Below are 18,050 nucleotides of genomic sequence, written 5' to 3' on the forward strand. Positions count from 1 at the left end.
TTTTAGTAGAGACGGGGTTTTGCCATGTTGGCCAAGCTGGTCTCGAACTCCTGCCCTCAAGTGATTTGCGCACCTCAGCCTCCCAAAGTGCTGGGATTATAGGCAAGAGCCACCATGTCTGGCCCAAGGCCCACAGTTGATTGAGAGAATAAAAAATGTCCTTCCATGTGAGACCTTACATGCCCAAGTTGCAGGAAGGAGCCTTCCTGTGGACAGGGACGCACAGAGACATCAGATGGCCCAGAGGCTCTGCTGGCAGGGACTGCCTGGTGGCCCCTGGGCATTCTGACCAGGGATCTGGGCTGGTACGCCCTTACTAAGGAGCTCAACCTCTCGGGGATTACACACTCAGTAGTTTTTGAATCTGCCCAGTGCTGGTTCAGCACAGATGTGGGGTCAGGCCACTGCTTAAGACACTTCAGCCTGGATTGCTCCACTAACCCAGGGCCAAATTGGGTACAGGTACCCCTGCCCCCGCCCCACACTCCTGTTCCAGGTTGAACAGATCCTGCATCCTAGCAATGGCTCACGAGTGGCGCCTGGTGGTCCCCTGGGTCAATGCTTCCTTCTTCCACAACCCCACCCCTGCAACACCACGGAGGAAGTAGATAAGACCAGGAGACCCTGTCTCCCCTGCACTCATTTTTCTCTGTGCCTTTCCACCTCCCAGCTCCATCTCCCATCTGTGACCAACCAAGAGGGCATGGCTAGAGCAGAGTGAGTGCTAAAGGCATAGACTTTGGAATCAGGCAGCCTGGGCTTTCATCTCAGCTCTGTCCTTACTGGCCTTATGCAAGATACTGAATTTTTCGGAGCTTCAGTGTCCTTGTCTGTAAAATGGGAATCACGATAGAGCCCCTTCACGGGATTGCTGTGAGGATGTAGCGCGCTTAGTGTGTACACCGGGTGAATGGCAGAGACGCTTACCAGCGCTGTTGTAGTTGCTAATAGTAATAAAAGCCTCCTTTCATGGCTTCATTTATCCTTGTCCAAAGCCGGATTCTTTTTGGTAAAAAAATAAAATAAAATAAAAACGGGCTCAGTTGTCCATCTTAAATGCTAATTTGCCTATTTTGCATAAATCTGCATGCTGAATTCTTTGCCTCCTGACCTTCCAGTGTTTAAGGTAAAATTAATTAGTGGAGTCTCCTGCCACTGCATGTAAACTCATACTAAGGGCAATGACACAATCAAATGCCTGATTTTTTTTTTTTTTTTTTTTTTTTGAGATGGAGTCTCCGCTCTCTTGCCTAGGCTGGAGTGCAGTGGTGCGATCTCGGCTCACTGCAATCTCCTCCCAGGTTCAAGCGATTCTCTTGCCTCAGCCTCCCAAGTAGCTGGGACTACAGGCACGTGCCACCACCCCTGGCTAATTTTTTTTTCTATCTTTAGTAAAGATGGGGTTTCACCATGTTGGCCAGGCTGGTCTCAAACTCCTGACCTCAAGGGATCCACCCACCTCAGCCTCCCAAAGTGCTGGGATTATAGGCGTGAGCCACCGTGCCTGGCCAGGTGCCTGATATTTTTAAACTAATCAACTTAATCCCATCTCAGATTAGATGGAAAATGCATCTGAAGATGGGCTCCCTATCCCTGAGAGAGAGAGAGAGAGAGAGAGAGAGAGAGAGAAAGAAAGAGAGAGAGAGAGAGAGCTGGTTGAGTAGGGAGGATAAAAGCTGGGGCCCACCCTGGGGCCTGTGTTGGCTCCAGTCCATCTAGTTCCTGCACAGACAGAAAGAGGGGGACTGGCCACTGCAGGCTGCTCAGGAGTAGAGCTCTGAAGAATTTAGGCCAGTGTCCTTAAACGCAAGGTACCGCATCTCACGAGAGGGCATTGCACACTTAGCTTTGCATGCACATATTGAGAAGTCACTACACATGAGGTCCCCTGATAGGAGTTGTGGCTGAGACAAGGAATTTATTTTGCCCCAAGGATCCCATTTGGAACAAGGCTGACATCCAGGGGGAGCTTGGTTCACTCAGAATCCCAGCCATTGTTCAAGTCAGTCTGACATTGTCCTACCCCAAATGCAGGTTTTTTACCTTGAGTTGAATGTTCCAAGTATTGGGTTCCCCATAGGGCAAGCCCAAGTCTTCAGAGTGTCCATTTCTTATTCCATGAGATCAAGAGCTAGCTGACTTTAATAGGCAGTGGGGAATCACTTGATGAATTGCAGCCTCCTCCAAATGACCCGAGCCTGCCATCCTGCCTCCCTCGGCAGCCTCATGCCTGTGCCAGCCAGGAAAGCCTGCCCAGGGAGTTTCCACCACCCTGCCCTGCCCAGGCTCCCATGTGCAGGGCATCCCCAGAGGCCTCCTCACAAAAGTCCCTCAGCGGCACTGCTCCCAGGTAGCCCCCATCTGACTCAATGAAATATGAGCTGCCGAGTGACAGCAGCTGTGTCTGAAGTGGCCCCAGATCCTATAATTACATCTCCCTTTATTACCTCTGCTAATGGCCCTCCAGGTCGACAGAAACGATCATAAATTAACAGATTATGAACTCCACTTGCCACAAATTACGTGCTTTTTTTTTTTCCCCCTTCAATTCTAGGAGCTTGTGGTGCCAAATCACGGATGGGGGGATGGGGAGCTTGGGGAGAGCCTGAATGTTATTAGATGAGTTGGTGCAGATAAAACAATTTTCCTGGGGCAGCAGAGCTCCAAGTGGGAGCATGAGGAGCCAGAAGCTCTGGGCAGGCCCGAGAGCCTTGATGAGGCAGTGCTGCCTGCAGTGAGCCCGGCACAGGGACACCCCTGCACTCCCAGGGGCACGGGGCACCCCCAGACCCTCCCGGTAGCCTCTTCAGGGGCCTCTTGGTCCCAGAGTTACTAATAACTTGAGAATGAGACCCAGCCCAGCTGAGAGAGGCAGGGGTGGAAGCGCTTTACTGAAGGGCAGGGAGGAGTGCCTGGGCTCCTTCTGGGTTTTAAATAAAAGAATCTGTGGTTTTAGTAAAGATATCAGATGGGACAGATGGGTCGAAATTAAGAGTTCCAAATTCCCCATCCTAACCTTCCTTCTGGGAATTTCCTGGGCAGATACAACCACTGTGTGAGGTGTGTGTGTGGGTGGGGGTTGTGTATGTCCCCCAGTCCATGGGCTTATACCATAACACTGCTTTACACCTGCTTTTTCCATTTAATTATACAAAATAGTAGCACTTACCTGGCAAAGCAGGGTTCTAAGTGTTCCACATGTCAGCTCATGTAATCTGAACAACCCCATGAGGTGAGTGCTGTTATGATTTCCATTTTACAGAAGAGGAAACCGAGGCACTGAGAGGCAGACTTGCCAGGGTCACAGCTAGTGAACAGCAGAGTTAGGAAGCTGATCTCTGTGCTCATACGATTACACCCTTTTTGCCCCCTTGGCTGTCTTTCCACGTCCACACAGAGTTCTAACTTATTTGGCACATTCATTTAACTAAAAATTACATCTATGTAATAATCACATGTATTACATTAGTTACCTTTTTTTTTTTCTATTTTGAATCATTTCAAGCAGTGATCTAATACCCTTTTACATTTATCTCTATGTCTTTATTCATACTTTTCTTTCTAGGATAAATTTCTTTTTTTTTCTTTTTGAGCCAGGATCTCGCTTTGTCACCCAGGCTGGAATGCAGTGGCATGATCTTGGCTCACTGGAGCTTTGACCACCTGGGTTCAAGCGATCCTCCTGCTGTAGCCTCCCAAGTAGCAGAGATCACAGGCATGCACCACCATGTCCGGCTAATTTTTAAATTATTTGTAGAGATGGTGTTTTGCCATGTTGCCCAGGCTGGCATTACACTCCTGGGCTCATGTGATCCTCCCACCTCAGCCCCCAAAGTTCTGGGATTACAGGCGTGAGCCACCGTGCCTGGCCACTAGGAGAAATTTCTAGCAGTAGAATTGCTAGGTTGAAGGGAGCATGCCTTTTATTTTATTTTTAATTTAATTATATTTATGACTTACTTTTATTTTTAAGCATCTTAAGCACTGACTGGGTTCAGAAGCCAAATGTAGACACAAATGTATGTAACAGAAGTCTCACCTCTATCCCTGTCCCCTCCCATTCCGACCTCCTAAAAGTCACCACTTTTTCTTTCTCAATTTTCCTTCTGGTGTTTCTTTTTGCAAATACTAGAAAAGATTCAGATGTTAAAAGATGTCAAATATCTCCCCCTCCCTTCCTTGCACAAAATGAAGAAGGCTGTATCACCAATTCAGCGCCTTGGAGTATACCTTTGGATTATCAAAGCTATTTTCAGGGCTTTTTGAAAATGTTCAGGGAGGAAGAGAGTGATCAGGGGCTGAGTCCAGAACTCGAAGCAGCCTATCAGAGGTTTGGGAACAGGCCTCCCGGGTACATCCTCCCATGGCAGCACAAAACTTTCCAAGTCCAGTCTCCCTCCCACCACCCAAGGGCAGGGCCTGACTCCTACAAGATAGGCAAAGGCAGCTAACCCTGAACCTGAGTCCAAAGATCTTAGAGGGTCTAACCAAGTACTGTGGGCACATTTTCTTGTCTCCTGGGAGTCAAAGCCTGTGGCATTTGTCCATTCTCTCTCTCCTTTTAGCTGCAAAGTTTTGTCGGGCAGCTTCTTTGCTGTGCCCAGTCGTGGGGGTGGGGAAGGAACAGCTCAGTGTCTGTGCACCCTGGGAACTCAGAGCTGGGATGGGCCATCCAGGGGCACCTGGGCATGTGCCTCATCAAAGGTGCCCTCACCACCCTGCTTGACAGCTCAGCCCTCAAGGCTCCCCTTCCACAAAGCCTCCCCAGACTCTTGTTTGGCCCACCTTCCCCAGTGCGTGCTCTCAGGGCCCTGCATTTGCTGTAGCTCTTCTTATATTGCAACTTTGTGCTGACTTGTGCCCCTTGGTGTGTGTCTTCCCCTTCACTGTAAACCGTTGAAGGCAGGGAGCAGTTCTGGACTGAGCACACCATTCTGTCCCCGGTGCCTAGCACAGGCCTGGCACTTAGTAGGTGCTCTGTAAGTTTTTGCTGAATGTCTCAAAGGGCAGAAAAGCATTCTAGTAACATCCTAATGATTGTACCTGCAGGATTCACTGCACAGGGGACTTTTCCCCTGCGTTTCCAGAAGCCTAGTCCTTACCTCATCCTCTCTCTCCACCACCTTCCAATTCAGTTGTCTGCTAATTTCACCCCTGCCCTCCTCCTCCATCTCCCCTCCAGTCTGTCTGCTTTTAGACCCCCTCCCTAGAGCTGTCCAACACTCCCCCCAACACACTCTCCGGTGCTGGCTGATTGGTATCTGTTAATTAATGTTGCCCAAGGCCTCTCTCCTACTCAAAGACCTGATAAGGGAAATTGGATGTCCATTTCTATCTATCTTTTATTACCTCCCAGCTCCCCCGGCCACCACAGGCAGCCACACACCCTCTCCCATGCAGGGAATCTGGACAACCACACACACACACACACACACACACACACACACACCCTGATCCCCTGTCACAGCCTCTCCCCTGAGAAGGTGCATCAATCAAAGCTCCCCCGTGTCAGTCGGTGTAATCACTCCTGCTCTTTTGTTGATCACCCATGGATTCCATTAGCCAGTGGTGATCTGAGGCCCAAGTTGTATAGATCAGTCTTGGGAACTGTGATAATTCACTTGGAGAATGCTCACAGGGTAAGGGTGGTCTGCCTGGTCAGGGACCTTCAGCTCCAGGAGTGACCCCTAAGGTTCAACTGCCATGCCCTGTGTGGAAGCCAGGGAAGAAGTGGCATTTGGAGACAGGACAGCAGATGGATGGGGGAGACCACACAAGCCAAAGAGCTGGGTGGTCCAGAAGCTCAGGACCACCCAGGCCTCCAGGCAAGTCCAGAGAGGAGAAGTGAGTGATGCCAATGGTGTGCCAACAACAACAACAATATTTAGTAACAACAGCCACAGCCATGACCAGCACCCTAGCATGTTGAGTGCTGATGGCGCCGGGAGAGGTGCCCAGCACTGTACATGCATCTTCTCTTTTCGCCCCCACAGCACCCCACATCAGAAAGTGGCTTCCAGCCAAGGATGGGGTCTAAGTCAGCAAATGAAGTAGAAAGTCCTTCCTAGGCAAAATTACCCCTGAAAAAAATCCCTTCATGTCAGTTACCCATAGTGCATGGTGCAAACAACTTTGTGGATGCCCTTCCTTCTTTGAATAAATCCAGCATGTCCGTGTTAGAACCAATCACTGAGTTTCTGTTTGAATCTCCAGTGAAGTTACTGCCTTGTGTTTGGTGGTTAAGATGCTTGAAAATCAGCTGACTTATTTATTTACTTACTCTCTCTTACTCTCCTATAAATCAAGATGTTAATTGACTTTGCCTAATTTAAGTGCATGTATAATGCAATTCCAGTACATTATCATTGTTCTGCAGTGAGAACTTTCATCTCATCATTAGTAATAATAGCTCAGTAAATACTTTGTATATTCTGGAATCATCGTCTCATTTAGACCTCACAGCAACTCTCTGAAGTAGACCCTACTATTATACTATTTCCTAGATGAGGAAGCTAAGGTTTGGAGAAGTTGCATGGTTTTCACAAGTTCAGCCTACAGCTAGTAAGCGGGAGTCAGGGTTCAACCCAGGCAATCCCCACAGTTCACTGGGCAAGACAGTGTCACAGTTCTGGAGCCTTCTCCATGCCCAACTTTATTTTCACTGTGGAATCAGCCTCCTCAAATAGCAGGGAGGGGGGAACTAGCATGATTCCAAGCTCCCGGAACAGGCCTGCTGGGTCATCGTTAAGCAGAGAGTTATGGCCCGGGAAGAGGGGCTCCGACCCTGGGAGAGCAGGCTGTCCTGTGAGAAAGTGCCCCTGACCCCGGGGGCTCTTGATCTCTTAGCAGCCCCAGGCTATGGTCACTGGGGCCTTCCCCTGTGGCTTTGAACAGCTGCGTCCTCGTTCTTGGTCAGGCCCGTGGGTCTCTGCACAGCTGAGACTGCATCAAGGATCAGGTGTCATTTTCAAATACCAAAGCCTCCCCTGGTTTGAGCAGAGAGTGGGCCCTGGAAACTCCCCAGAGTGGCCGAGAGCACGTACTGCTGCCTCCTGGTTCCAGTATGTACTCAGTCACTCCTTTAACTACAAATGCATTGAATTAAACAAAAAGCCTCTACAGACGTTTGGAAAATACCATAGAGCTAACAATCATAATGATAACAACAACTGTCAACATTGACTGAGCTCTCATTTTGTAAGTCTTTTCCGTGAATTCCAAGTCTGAGGCATTCCCCAAGGGGAGGACAGTGAGTCTTACGCTACACAGGGAAAGCCTGGGGGCAGGATCCAGGGGTGCCAGGGACACCCCGCAACCAGCCACGCCCTGCAACCTCTGCCCCCAGCGAGCCCCAGGGAGGCCCCTGGTCCGCCCTCCTGACCTGCTGCTGCCCTCTGTGCCCCCTCTTCCTGCAGGCTTCTCAAGCCTCTCCCTGGGGGACCAGATGAGCCTGCTGCAGAGTGCCTGGATGGAAATCCTCATCCTGGGCATCGTGTACCGCTCGCTGCCCTATGACGACAAGCTGGTGTACGCTGAGGACTACATCATGGATGAGGAGCACTCCCGCCTCGCGGGGCTGCTGGAGCTCTACCGGGCCATCCTGCAGCTGGTACGCAGGTACAAGAAGCTCAAGGTGGAGAAGGAGGAGTTTGTGACGCTCAAGGCCCTGGCCCTCGCCAACTCCGGTAAGGGCGGCGGCGGGGCCTGGAAGGGGAGCTTCTAGGGCTCTGCATGGGCCTAATGAGCCCATCCCTGGGGCCTGTGGGCAGGGCTGGCTGCCATGGATAGAGATGAAAGGAAAACACTGAAACTTTTTATTACTGAAGATTGTCCAAGGGGTGGCCTGCAGATAAAAAGCTGGTGATGAAGGCTGACACTGGCTGAGCATTTCCTAAGCCTCAGACATCCAGACTGGCACACTGGCTAAGGACATGGGTTCTGAGGCCACATTGCTAAGGAGCAAATCCCACGTCTACCAACTGGGCAAGTTGCTTCACTCTGTGCCTCAGTTTCTTCATCAGTAAAAGGAGGGCAGCCAAACAGTCCCTACTCTACAAGGCTATTGACAGGATTTCTTTATACATAATTATATTGCTTGCAACATGCTTGGCACATAAAAAGCACTCAATTATTTATTTATTTGTTTATTATAGACGGGGTCTTGTTCTGTCGCCCAGGTAGGAGTGCTGTGGCTTGATCCTAGCTCACTGCAGTCTCAAACTTTTGGGCTCAAGCCATCCTCCCACCTCAGCCTCCTGAGTAGCTGGAACTACAGGCATGTGCCATTATTCCGGCCAATTCTTATTTCTATTTTTTATGGAGATAGGGTCTCACTATGTTGCCCAGGTTGGTCCCAAACTCCTGGGCTCAAGCAATCCTCTCACCTCAGCCTCCCAAAGTGTTGGCACTACAGGTATGAGCCACCACGCTCAGCGTCAACTTATTAAATTAGCTAGGAGTTTATTGAATTCTTACAAACAACCCAAGAGTAAAATTCTTATTGTTGCAACCCCATTTTACAGATGTGGAAACTGAGACCTGAAAAAGTAAAGAAAATCACCCAGGGTCACACAGTTAAAAAGTGTCAGAGTTAAGAGTCAAACCAAGGTCCTCTGATTCCAAAATCAACCTGAACCTATACCCACTCCTTGAATCTTTCAGTCAAATTTCTTGAACACAGGAGGATAAAACCTTCCCAACTGAGTGGTTTAAGCTGGAGTTACAAAGGAGGACTCACTCCATTTCATTAGCATCCACCAACTTCTGGCTAGATTATCTGAGGAGAGAGGCAGGCGTTGGGTAATGCCAGTAAGTGAACTTGAATGTAACCAACATCCACACTTAGAGAGCTTCCACACTATTCAGGGAATGGTGCTGGGTGCCAGGGGGCTGCAGGAGAAGGATAAATACAGGGTACCCTCCCTAAAGAGAACACATGCCAGGAATCACACACATAATTCTGTTGCAGAGCAGTGTGTGGCAGAGTTAACTGCCCAGGTCTGGGTCAGATAGACCCAAGTTCAAATTCTATCTCTGACACTTCCTAGCAGTATGACCTTGGGTAACTCAGTGTCCTTGTGTGTTCAGTGGGGATATTCTGAGCACCTCTTCCAAGCACTTTATTTTATTTTATTTTTTTTTGAGACAGAGTCTCACTCTGTGGCCTGGGCTGGCGTGCAGCGATGCAATCTCGGCTCACTGCAACCTCTGCCTCCCGGGTTCAAGCGATTCTCGTGTCTCAGCCTTCCGAGTAGCTGGGACTACATGCGTGCACCGCCACACTCAGCTAATTTTTGTATTTTTAGTAGAGACGGGGTTTCGCTATGTTGCCCAGGCTGGTCTCAAACTCCTGGCCTCAAGTGATCCACCCGCCTTGGCATCCCAAAGTGAGGGGATTACAGGTGTGAGCCACCACGCCCAGCCCCAAGTGCTTTTGTGAGTATTAAAGATTGACTGACAATAAAGCACTCAGCCTGGTGCCTGGCCTAGAGGAAATGTTCAATAAATATTAATTATTATCATTACTATTAATGATAGAGGATACAAAGTGTTATTAGCATATGGAAAAGGGAGAACTGGCTCCCAGATGCAGACAGTACACACAGGGTAACCAACTGGTTTGCTCAATACTGTCCTGCTTTTACTGAAAGTCCCATATCCCAGGAAACTCGTCAGTCCCTGGCAAACTGGGACAGTTGGTTGCCCTAGCACATGGCTTCATGGTGCATGCAGGGGGTGCTGTTGATGACCCACTTGGATCCCTTTTACTGGGTTAGTGCATCCATCCCCTAGCTGCTAACAGTTCAGAGGTACCCCTTTGCAGGGCCTACCCTCCTCTGCCTTGCCCAGAGGGTTATGTGGCCCTTTCCTTGGCACCACCAGGCAATGGTGGACCCACATGGGTACAAAAGTTCGGATCAGAGCCCTGCATGGGATCAGGCTGAAGCCGAGGTCCCATCTTTGCCTTGCTTTCTCCTTCCCTGTGCTTCCTGCCTCCCCACTTCCTTTCTCCTGAACACATGCCCCCCGTAAATGTCTGTACCTAAACCCTTGCCTCAGGCTCTGCTCCCAGGGAACCTGATCTAACACAGAAAAGGATGCCACTTTTTTAGTTCAAATCTTTTATTAACAATAAATGAATGCAAAATAATATTAAAAATTTTACATACGTCCACAGAGAATATTTACACATTGAATTCCAAAATTGTAGTGCATTCTTTGTTAGAGAATCCTAATGCTGTTTTTTTAAAGTATAGTTTTAGATTTACAGAATAACTTTTTTTTTTTTTTTTGAGACAGAATTTTGCTCTTGTTGCCCAGGCTGGAATGCAGTGGTGCAATCTCGGCCCACTGCAACCTCCGCCTCCTGGGTTCAAGCGATTCTCTTGCCTCAGCCTCCTTAGTAGCTGGGATTACAGGCGCCTGCCACCACGCCCGGCTAATTTTTGTATTTTTAGTAGAGACATGGTTTCACCATGTTGGCCAGGCTGGTCTCAAACTCCCGACCTCAGGTGATCCACCCACCTCAGCCTCTCACAGTGCTGGGATTGCGGGCGTGAGTCACTGCACCCGGCCGACTGTGTTGTATTGTTCTATAGGTTTTGACAAATGCATAATGACATGTTTCTACAATGACGTATCATACAAAATAGCATCAAGGCCCTGTGCTTCACCTACACAGAGGGGAGCATTTGAACCAGGCATTGCAGAGGGCTTCGAGGTTCTGTCAGGTGGAGGAGGAGCAAAAGCAGTTAAAGCAGAGGAAGCCAGGTGCACAAAGCCAGGTGCAGGAAGGCTGGCCAGGCCTTGGAGGTCAAGCCCTCTATTCTGGGCTCTCCTAACTTACACCAGACACAGAGCTCAATCTTGCCTGTGTTGGGAGAGGAGAGTAAAGAGGTAGTGTCTCCTCCACTCTTACTTGGTCCTCAGTACCGGACCACACCACACCAGCTTTCAGCTGCTCTTCCCTTGATCTCACATGGACCCGCACACATACACACATGCACATGTATACATACAAACACATGCACATACATACACACCCACACATACACACACATGTGAACACACATATGTGCATGCACATACCCACATATGCAGCCACATCCATGTGTATATAGACATACACACACACCCCCACCTGAGGACCCGTGGAGGTTTGTCAATATGAATCCATATCGAACTTCTGTTGGCATCAACAGAACTTCTGTTGACATCAGACTTTGCCTGAGTGCACTTTGTCGCATGGTATGAGGTTTCAGGTCTCCGGACTTCTTGCCCCAGCAACATGTAGAGAGCCATCCTGCAGTTGGTGCACAGGATAAGAAGCTGGAGGTGGAGGAGGAGTTTGTGATGTTCAGGGCCTTGGCTGACCCCCAAGAGGGAACACACGTTGCTTATTCCAGAGAGCCGCAGTCCTTGATGAGGGGAATGCTTCCTTCCCAGCACGGAGGGGTTGAGCATGAGGCCCTCTTGCTATCAAGTAGATGCTCAGAAAGCAGGCTGGCTAGTCTTTTTTTTTTTTTTTTTTTAAGTAATGGTTTTCCAGCCTAGGCAACAGAGTGAGACCCTTTCTCAGAAATAAATAAATAAATAAAATAAAGTAATGATTTAAAGGAGTGCTTGCCAAAGTACCTGTGATGAAGGACCCATTTTTAAATGTTTCAAAATGTTCAATCCATTACGGACAGATCATTTTGTAAAATACAACAAAAATAAATTATTAAAAAAATGAAATTAAAAACCAGATGTACAAAACATGAGCCAAATTTTTAAATTTTTATATATAACAGACATAAATATAAATCATCCTTCCAAAGTGCTATAAAGTTTCTAAATGCTTACTCTCAGTTTCTTATCACAGACCAGTAACCTCCAGAGGGCAGGCAGGAACCAGTCTGTGTACCATGCTTTGAGCAGGCTGGGTTTAAAGCGTGTACTTCAGGGTCAGTGAGACCTGGGTTCAAATCCTGCCTCTGCCACCTGCTGGCTGAGTGTCTGGCAACCTGACCTTTGTGAGTCTCAGTTTCCTCATCTGTGAAATAGGGAGAACAGCAGCTCATTGTGAAGAATGTGCAGTGACGCACATAAGGCTGTGGCCACCGTGCTTGGCACAGATCCCTCCTAGCTCATTGTGTTTCTGTTGGGCTCTGTGGGGTATAGTGGGTGGCCTGGGGAAGAGGAGCCAGTTGGATGTAGCTCCTGCTTCCAAGGGAGATAAGACATGAGCCTGGATGTGGCAGAAAGAGCCAGTGATTCCTGACATGAGAGAGGATCATGTAAAGGGCTCAAGGAGGGAAGAGTAAATTGTTTTCAGCTGGGGAGGTAGACTCTGAGTGGGGTCTTAAAGCAAGAGACGGTTCGGTAGGATGGGAAGAGGGAGTGTAAACTTCTGTAGTGGGGCCATCAGCTCCAGGCAGGAAATGGGGAAAGAACAGGCCAGTTTCAGGGAGAGGCTAGAAAAGCAGGCTGGGGTCAGACCAGAAGCTCAAGGGCTGTGAAGGGATTGGATTGTGATGGGGTCAGTACAGGGAGGCAGGAAGGGTTGTGCGGGAGTGACCTGCCTCAGCCTTGAGGGAGAAAGATCACCCAGGCATCATAGAGAAAATGTGTTGGCTGGAGGAGGGATGGGTGCCAGGAGACCATTGAGGTGTCCTAGCAGCAGCCCTCAGGGCGACCATGGGTGCCACTGCTGAGGCTCAGTGCACGGGATGACTCAGGTGTGGCTCCAGTGGCTCAGGGGGCTGACGCTGGGCAGAAGTGCCCAAGCACATCAGAGGCAGACTGTGACCCCACACCATGGCCCCCTGGGAGCCTGCTGGCTGCGGTTTACCCCACATCCCAGCCATCCCCAAAGCTCCCTGACAGCAGGAAAAATTCATAGCCATTGATTTTGTAATTAACAGTTTATCAATGCCATCGATACAGACCGGCTGATGGATTGCAAAGAAATTAATCTTGCAATGTTATTTTATTTCATTTTTGGTCGAAGGCAGCTGCCAATTTTGTCCTCCTTGGGGAGAGTCGGGGGAGGATGGAGAGGGCGGGGAGAGGGAGCTGGCAGGAGTCAGGAGCCCACATGGCAATGCCCAGCCATGTTAGGTACACACTCTGTAAGTGGCCGAGAGTGTAGGATTAGGGCCTTGCTTCATCTCCCACCTGATGACGAAGGAGTGCTCACTGCCTTGGTAGCAGGGAGCAGAAAAATGTGGAGGAGGCTTGGGTGTGGGGCCAGTGAAGACTCAGCCCTGCAAGGACACTCACCCCCAGCCTGAGTCCCCACAGGAATAACACTACCTGACATTGACCAGGTGCTGATCACGCTCTGGGTAATGTGCTGCTTCAGTCACCCTCACCACCACCCTGTGAGTCCTCACTCCTGTGTTTTACAGCCGGCTTAGACCCAGCTGTAACGTGGCCGTCAGCAGGTGCCTCCCTGCCGTGCTGGGATGTAGGTAAATTTTGTTTGAACCCCTAGGTCATGGCCTAAGTTCAAAACCTTTCCCAAGATTTTAGAGAACTCCCTATAGCTCCCTCCATCACCGTGCCTCATGCCGCCACCTTGACACAGTGCTCAGCCCCTATATCTGTGCCTGTATTCTGTGTCCTATAACCAGAATTTTGTCAGGTTAGCGATTGCACTGAAGACTTGGGGAGCTGGTGCCTGGCAGCGGCAGCTGCAGTGGTTGTCATGGTGATAGTAGTGATGGGGCTAGGGGCGGTGGTAGGGGTGATACCGCTACCAGGGCACTGACTTGTGACAAGTTCTGTTATAAACCCTTGACCTGTTTAACTCCTTTAAGCCCTTGAGGTAGGCATGGCTATTATCCCATTTTACAAGTGAGGAAAATGAGGCTCAGAGAAGTTAATAACTTGCCCAAAATCACACAGCCTGCAAGTAAGGGACACAGGATTCCAAGTCTGGCTCCAGGGTCTCTGCTGCCACCCCCTGGTGACCTCTTGAGAAATGTCCCCTGTAGACGCCAGTCTCTCCCTGGGTTTGAGTCCCAGCTCTGTCATTAGCTTCTGTGACCTCTCTGGGCCTCAGATTGGCTCTCTGTGAAGAGAGGGTTCTGAAGATACCCCTGCCTGCCTCCATGCTGCCTCCTGGACCCCAAGATGGCCCCCACACCAGGCAGCACTCCCTGGCCAAGCCTGCTAATGCTCGTCCTTGTGCCTGCAGATTCCATGTACATCGAGGATCTAGAGGCTGTCCAGAAGCTGCAGGACCTGCTGCACGAGGCACTGCAGGACTACGAGCTGAGCCAGCGCCATGAGGAGCCCTGGAGGACGGGCAAGCTGCTGCTGACACTGCCGCTGCTGCGGCAGACGGCCGCCAAGGCCGTGCAGCACTTCTATAGCGTCAAACTGCAGGGCAAAGTGCCCATGCACAAACTCTTCCTGGAGATGCTGGAGGCCAAGGTGTGATGGCCCCGCACACGGACCAATGCCCACCTACAGACAGACAAACGGACAGACCGAGGTGGAGACCTCCACAGCCACCAGCCTCCACCTTCAACCCCTGTATCATGGCTCTGAGCTGTCCCAGAGGCGGGGGTTTCTCACCTCCTGGCTGTGTGCAGACTCCCGGGTGCAGTGGGGTGGGGGACGGGGATGGGGGGGCAGGGGTGTGGGGCTCGACTGTAACTGGCTTTTTCTTTGGTATGTCTTTCCTTCTCCATGGACGGTGCGGAGGCCTGGGCCAGGGCTGACTCCCTTCAGGAGTGGAGGCCACTGGAGCAAGTGCCCTCTCCCCTCCACCGAGCCACCAAGAGGCAGCATGTGCATTTCCTAACTCCCTTGCCCCCTCCCCCATCTGTGGCCTGGGTGGGCACTGCTCAGGCTGGATACCACCTGGAGGTTTTCCTTCCGCAGAGGGCAGGTACGCAAGGGACAACAGTATCTTTCTTCCAGAGGTCCTACCTGCTCTGAGATCCTCTGGGGCCGGTCAAGAGGCCCCATACCTTCCACAGTTTCCACTCAGCTTTCAGCCAGGGGGTACCCACAGGAGAGCAGCGGCTAGAGCTCAAGTGCTTCCTGGGCACCCCACCCCTCGGGGCCTACCCCCCTGCCTGTCACCCACCGCGCCGGTGTCCACCTGTCCTCCTCCTCTTCTCCTCCCCCCGGGAGTCCCCCGCTACTTCCTGACCCTACCTCAGAGCTCACTCACCCAGTGGGTTCAGCCAGCCACAGCGACTCCAGGGGCTGTAGACAGGAACGCGCTGGCACAGAGAAGAGCGGGGACCACACCATCCTCCCAAGAACCCTCTCCCTCTTCCTGCCTTCCCCCTCTCCCTGAAGGGCAGGTCCAGGCCAAGTGAGCCTGTGAGAAGCTCAGGAGCCTGGCTCCATCCAAGAGCACCCCGGGGGGAGGATCAGGACAGGATGGACAGAGGCCCAGACTCATCTTTGCCAAGCACAGAAAGGCCGAGCAGCTGAGATAAGTAGGCAGGGGAGCCCCAAAGGGAGGGAACTCAGCGGGGTGGCCTGCCTCATCCTTCCTGGCTTCCCTTCCCTGCACTCAGCATCATGCCACAGGGCTAGTGTACCAGTGCCACAGGAGGGGTGCCCTCCTACCACACTTGGGCTACCAGAGGTTTGGTGTAGCTCCCCTGGGCACCGCGAGCACGCCAGCTCTCTGGCAGGACCCCTGCAGTCCCCCTGGCTGTGCCAGGTAACCAACCGTCTTGGTTTGTCCAGGACGTTTCTTTATCCCAGGAAACTCCTCTACCCCAGGCACACGGGGACAGTGGGTCACTCTATTTCTGTGGATGGCCGTGAAAGTTTTCACTAACTCAAGGGGCAGCCCTGAACACCCATTTGTGCTCACAGGTTGGCCAAGAGCAGCTTAGAGGATCTCCCAAGGATGAAAGAATGTCAAGCCATGATGGAAAATGCCCCTTCCAATCAGCTGCCTTCACAAGCAGGGATCAGAGCAACTCCCCGGGGATCCCCAATCCACGCCCTTCTAGTCCAACCCCCCTCAATGAGAGAGGCAGGCAGATCTCACCCAGCACTAGGACACCAGGAGGCCAGGTAACTTTCTGCAGCTTTTCCATAGAAGCCCTGGTCCCACCTCCTTGGCTCTACCCCAGGAACCTCCCGGCCTGGGCTTCTGGGCTGGGACGTGCTGAGGTCATCCCAGACAGGAGGGAGGGCTGGCTGAAATCCACAAACTGCAGAGCAGCTCTCTGATGGTGTCCCACACAGAAAATGTTAAGGATTTCAAGAGCCCTCCCAGACCAGTGATGTGTCCCTCCGGCTCCCCTTGCCTGTGGGGAATCGGGTCTGAGTCACTTGATGAGTAGGCACTGGAGCCGTTACCCAGGATGCTGCGGCCCTAGCCCTCCATGCAGCCCATCTTCCCTCATTTGGGTGGAGGCACACATTTGGGGCAAAGGCCCCTTCTTGGCATCAAGGAACACCAGCTACAAACCAAGTCTAGCACAGTGTTTAGAGGCTCTGCCCTGAGGTTCTGCTCCGGAGAAACCTTCACAGTAGAGACCTTGGGGTGTGTGCTTTGGGACTCCCTCAGTCTCTCACTGTGCTGTGTCCTTGCAGCGGGGCCGAGGTAGCACCCTGCTCTGTCACTTCCTGCTCAAGCTGGAGGACCCAGGCGGCAGGGCATCATGCCCAGCTGGCATCTGCTGTCTGTCTTTTCTAGGGAAAGCATCTCTGGCTCACCATGTAACATCTGGCTTGGAGCAAGTGGGTGTTCTGCACACCAGGCAGCTGCACCTCACTGGATCTAGTGTTGCTGCGAGTGACCTCACTTCAGAGCCCCTCTAGCAGAGTGGGGCGGAAGTCCTGATGGTTGGTGTCCATGAGGTGGAAGCTGCTTTTATACTTAAAACTCAGATCACAACAGGAAATGTGTCAGTAACAATGGAACTCCATCCAATGGGAAAGTTCCTGGTACTGAAGGGGTCCATTGGACACTCAGAAAAGAAGTTCAGGGGCCAACTTCTTAGCTGGAATCCTGGCCAGATGAGGACCCTCTCCGGGGAAGGGAGAGGACTGACTTAGTGGAAGGTGGTGAAGTGAGGAGAGTTTAGGGGAACCTTCCCCCAGTGGAACAGATCTCAAGTTTACCCTAAACCTGCCATTTCTGGAAAATCTGTAAAGAGGAAACAGCCTGTCTCAGCTGTACTCTCATGATACAGGTCATTTGAAATGAACCAAGAAATAAAACATGAAAATCCAACCATGGAGAAGGTGGTATGGCTGGGTTTTGTTTGGTCCCCTTGTCCTTATACGTTCTAAAGTTTCCAGACTGGCTTTGTCACTTTGTGAACTCGTCATGTGTGAAAACCAATCTTTGCATATAGGGAACTTCCTCGGGCCACACTTTAAGAACCAAGTAAGAGGCTCTCAAGACTCCAGCAGAGTCGGGAGGCCATGGCAGCGCCTTAGAGGAGCTGGAACCTGCACCCACCTGTGTCGGTGGGGGGGGCCTCCTTTCCCCATAGACTCTGCCCTCCCTCTGTGCAGATGGAAGTGGCAGGGGAGGGTGACCAGCTTGTGACAAGAAGACTGAAGGGTCCAGAGTCCATGCTCACGGAACAGCACCAAAGAAAAGCACTATGTGGAAAGATTGTTTTATTTTCTAATAATGATAATATGGCTGGAATGGCTTCTTAAGATGTATATATTTTTTAAAATGGCAGTTCCCCATTGCAGCATCACCTACTTGTATGTCTTTCTGCCTCTGTATATGTTCTCCCAGAAACCCCCATGTAAATCAAATGCCCTAGGATGCTTCCATCCTGGTCCCATGTATCTGGAATCTAATAAATAAGGAAAGGAACTATTGAGTTTCTTCACACATTGTCTTTCTGGGCTGACTGTCCCCCAGACAGCACTGCCCTTGGGTTTCAGGCTGAGGCTAGGAGAGGCCGTTGGGAGAGGCAACCCAGCCTTAGTGTTCCCTGGGAAGTCCCATGGTGTCATTTTAAAACATGTTCACCAGCAAAGCTCAGGAATGCAACTGGAGAAGTATGCTGCAGGTCTGAGAAGCTCCCTGTTGCTTTTATGCTTTTAATATTAATGGT

The 18,050-nt window shown here is 50.9% G+C and overlaps 1 protein-coding gene across 9 annotated transcripts in view, besides 2 other annotated features; it reads left to right on the plus strand.

The window, feature by feature from the left end:
- The window catches only part of ESRRB (estrogen related receptor beta), a 191,061-nt gene extending 173,255 nt beyond the window's left edge, over positions 1-17,806 (plus strand). For 3 of the 9 annotated variants that reach the window (XM_047431079.1, XM_011536547.3, XM_011536550.3), the window contains 3 exons: positions 7,416-7,685; positions 14,183-14,421; positions 15,832-17,806. In XM_047431079.1, coding sequence (XP_047287035.1) covers positions 7,416-7,685; positions 14,183-14,421; positions 15,832-16,194 — 872 coding nt within the window. In that variant the 3' untranslated portion in view covers positions 16,195-17,806. Of the gene's footprint in view, positions 1-7,415; positions 7,686-14,182 lie in introns of all 9 variants that reach the window. The other 6 variants (NM_004452.4, XM_011536554.3, NM_001411038.1 and 3 more) reach the window with 4 other exon arrangements.
- Positions 2,513-3,013: an enhancer, noted in NCBI's record as "H3K4me1 hESC enhancer chr14:76952887-76953387 (GRCh37/hg19 assembly coordinates)". NCBI's record gives its function as "activates a minimal SCP1, AML or CMV promoter by ChIP-STARR-seq in primed H9 embryonic stem cells {active_cell/tissue: H9 hESC(primed)}" and the evidence as "EXISTENCE:reporter gene assay evidence [ECO:0000049][PMID:30033119]".
- Positions 15,949-16,488: an enhancer, noted in NCBI's record as "H3K27ac-H3K4me1 hESC enhancer chr14:76966323-76966862 (GRCh37/hg19 assembly coordinates)". NCBI's record gives its function as "activates a minimal SCP1, AML or CMV promoter by ChIP-STARR-seq in primed H9 embryonic stem cells {active_cell/tissue: H9 hESC(primed)}" and the evidence as "EXISTENCE:reporter gene assay evidence [ECO:0000049][PMID:30033119]".

The sequence above is a fragment of the Homo sapiens genome, chromosome 14 (genome assembly GCF_000001405.40).
Source record: "Homo sapiens chromosome 14, GRCh38.p14 Primary Assembly".
NCBI lineage: Eukaryota > Metazoa > Chordata > Mammalia > Primates > Hominidae > Homo > Homo sapiens.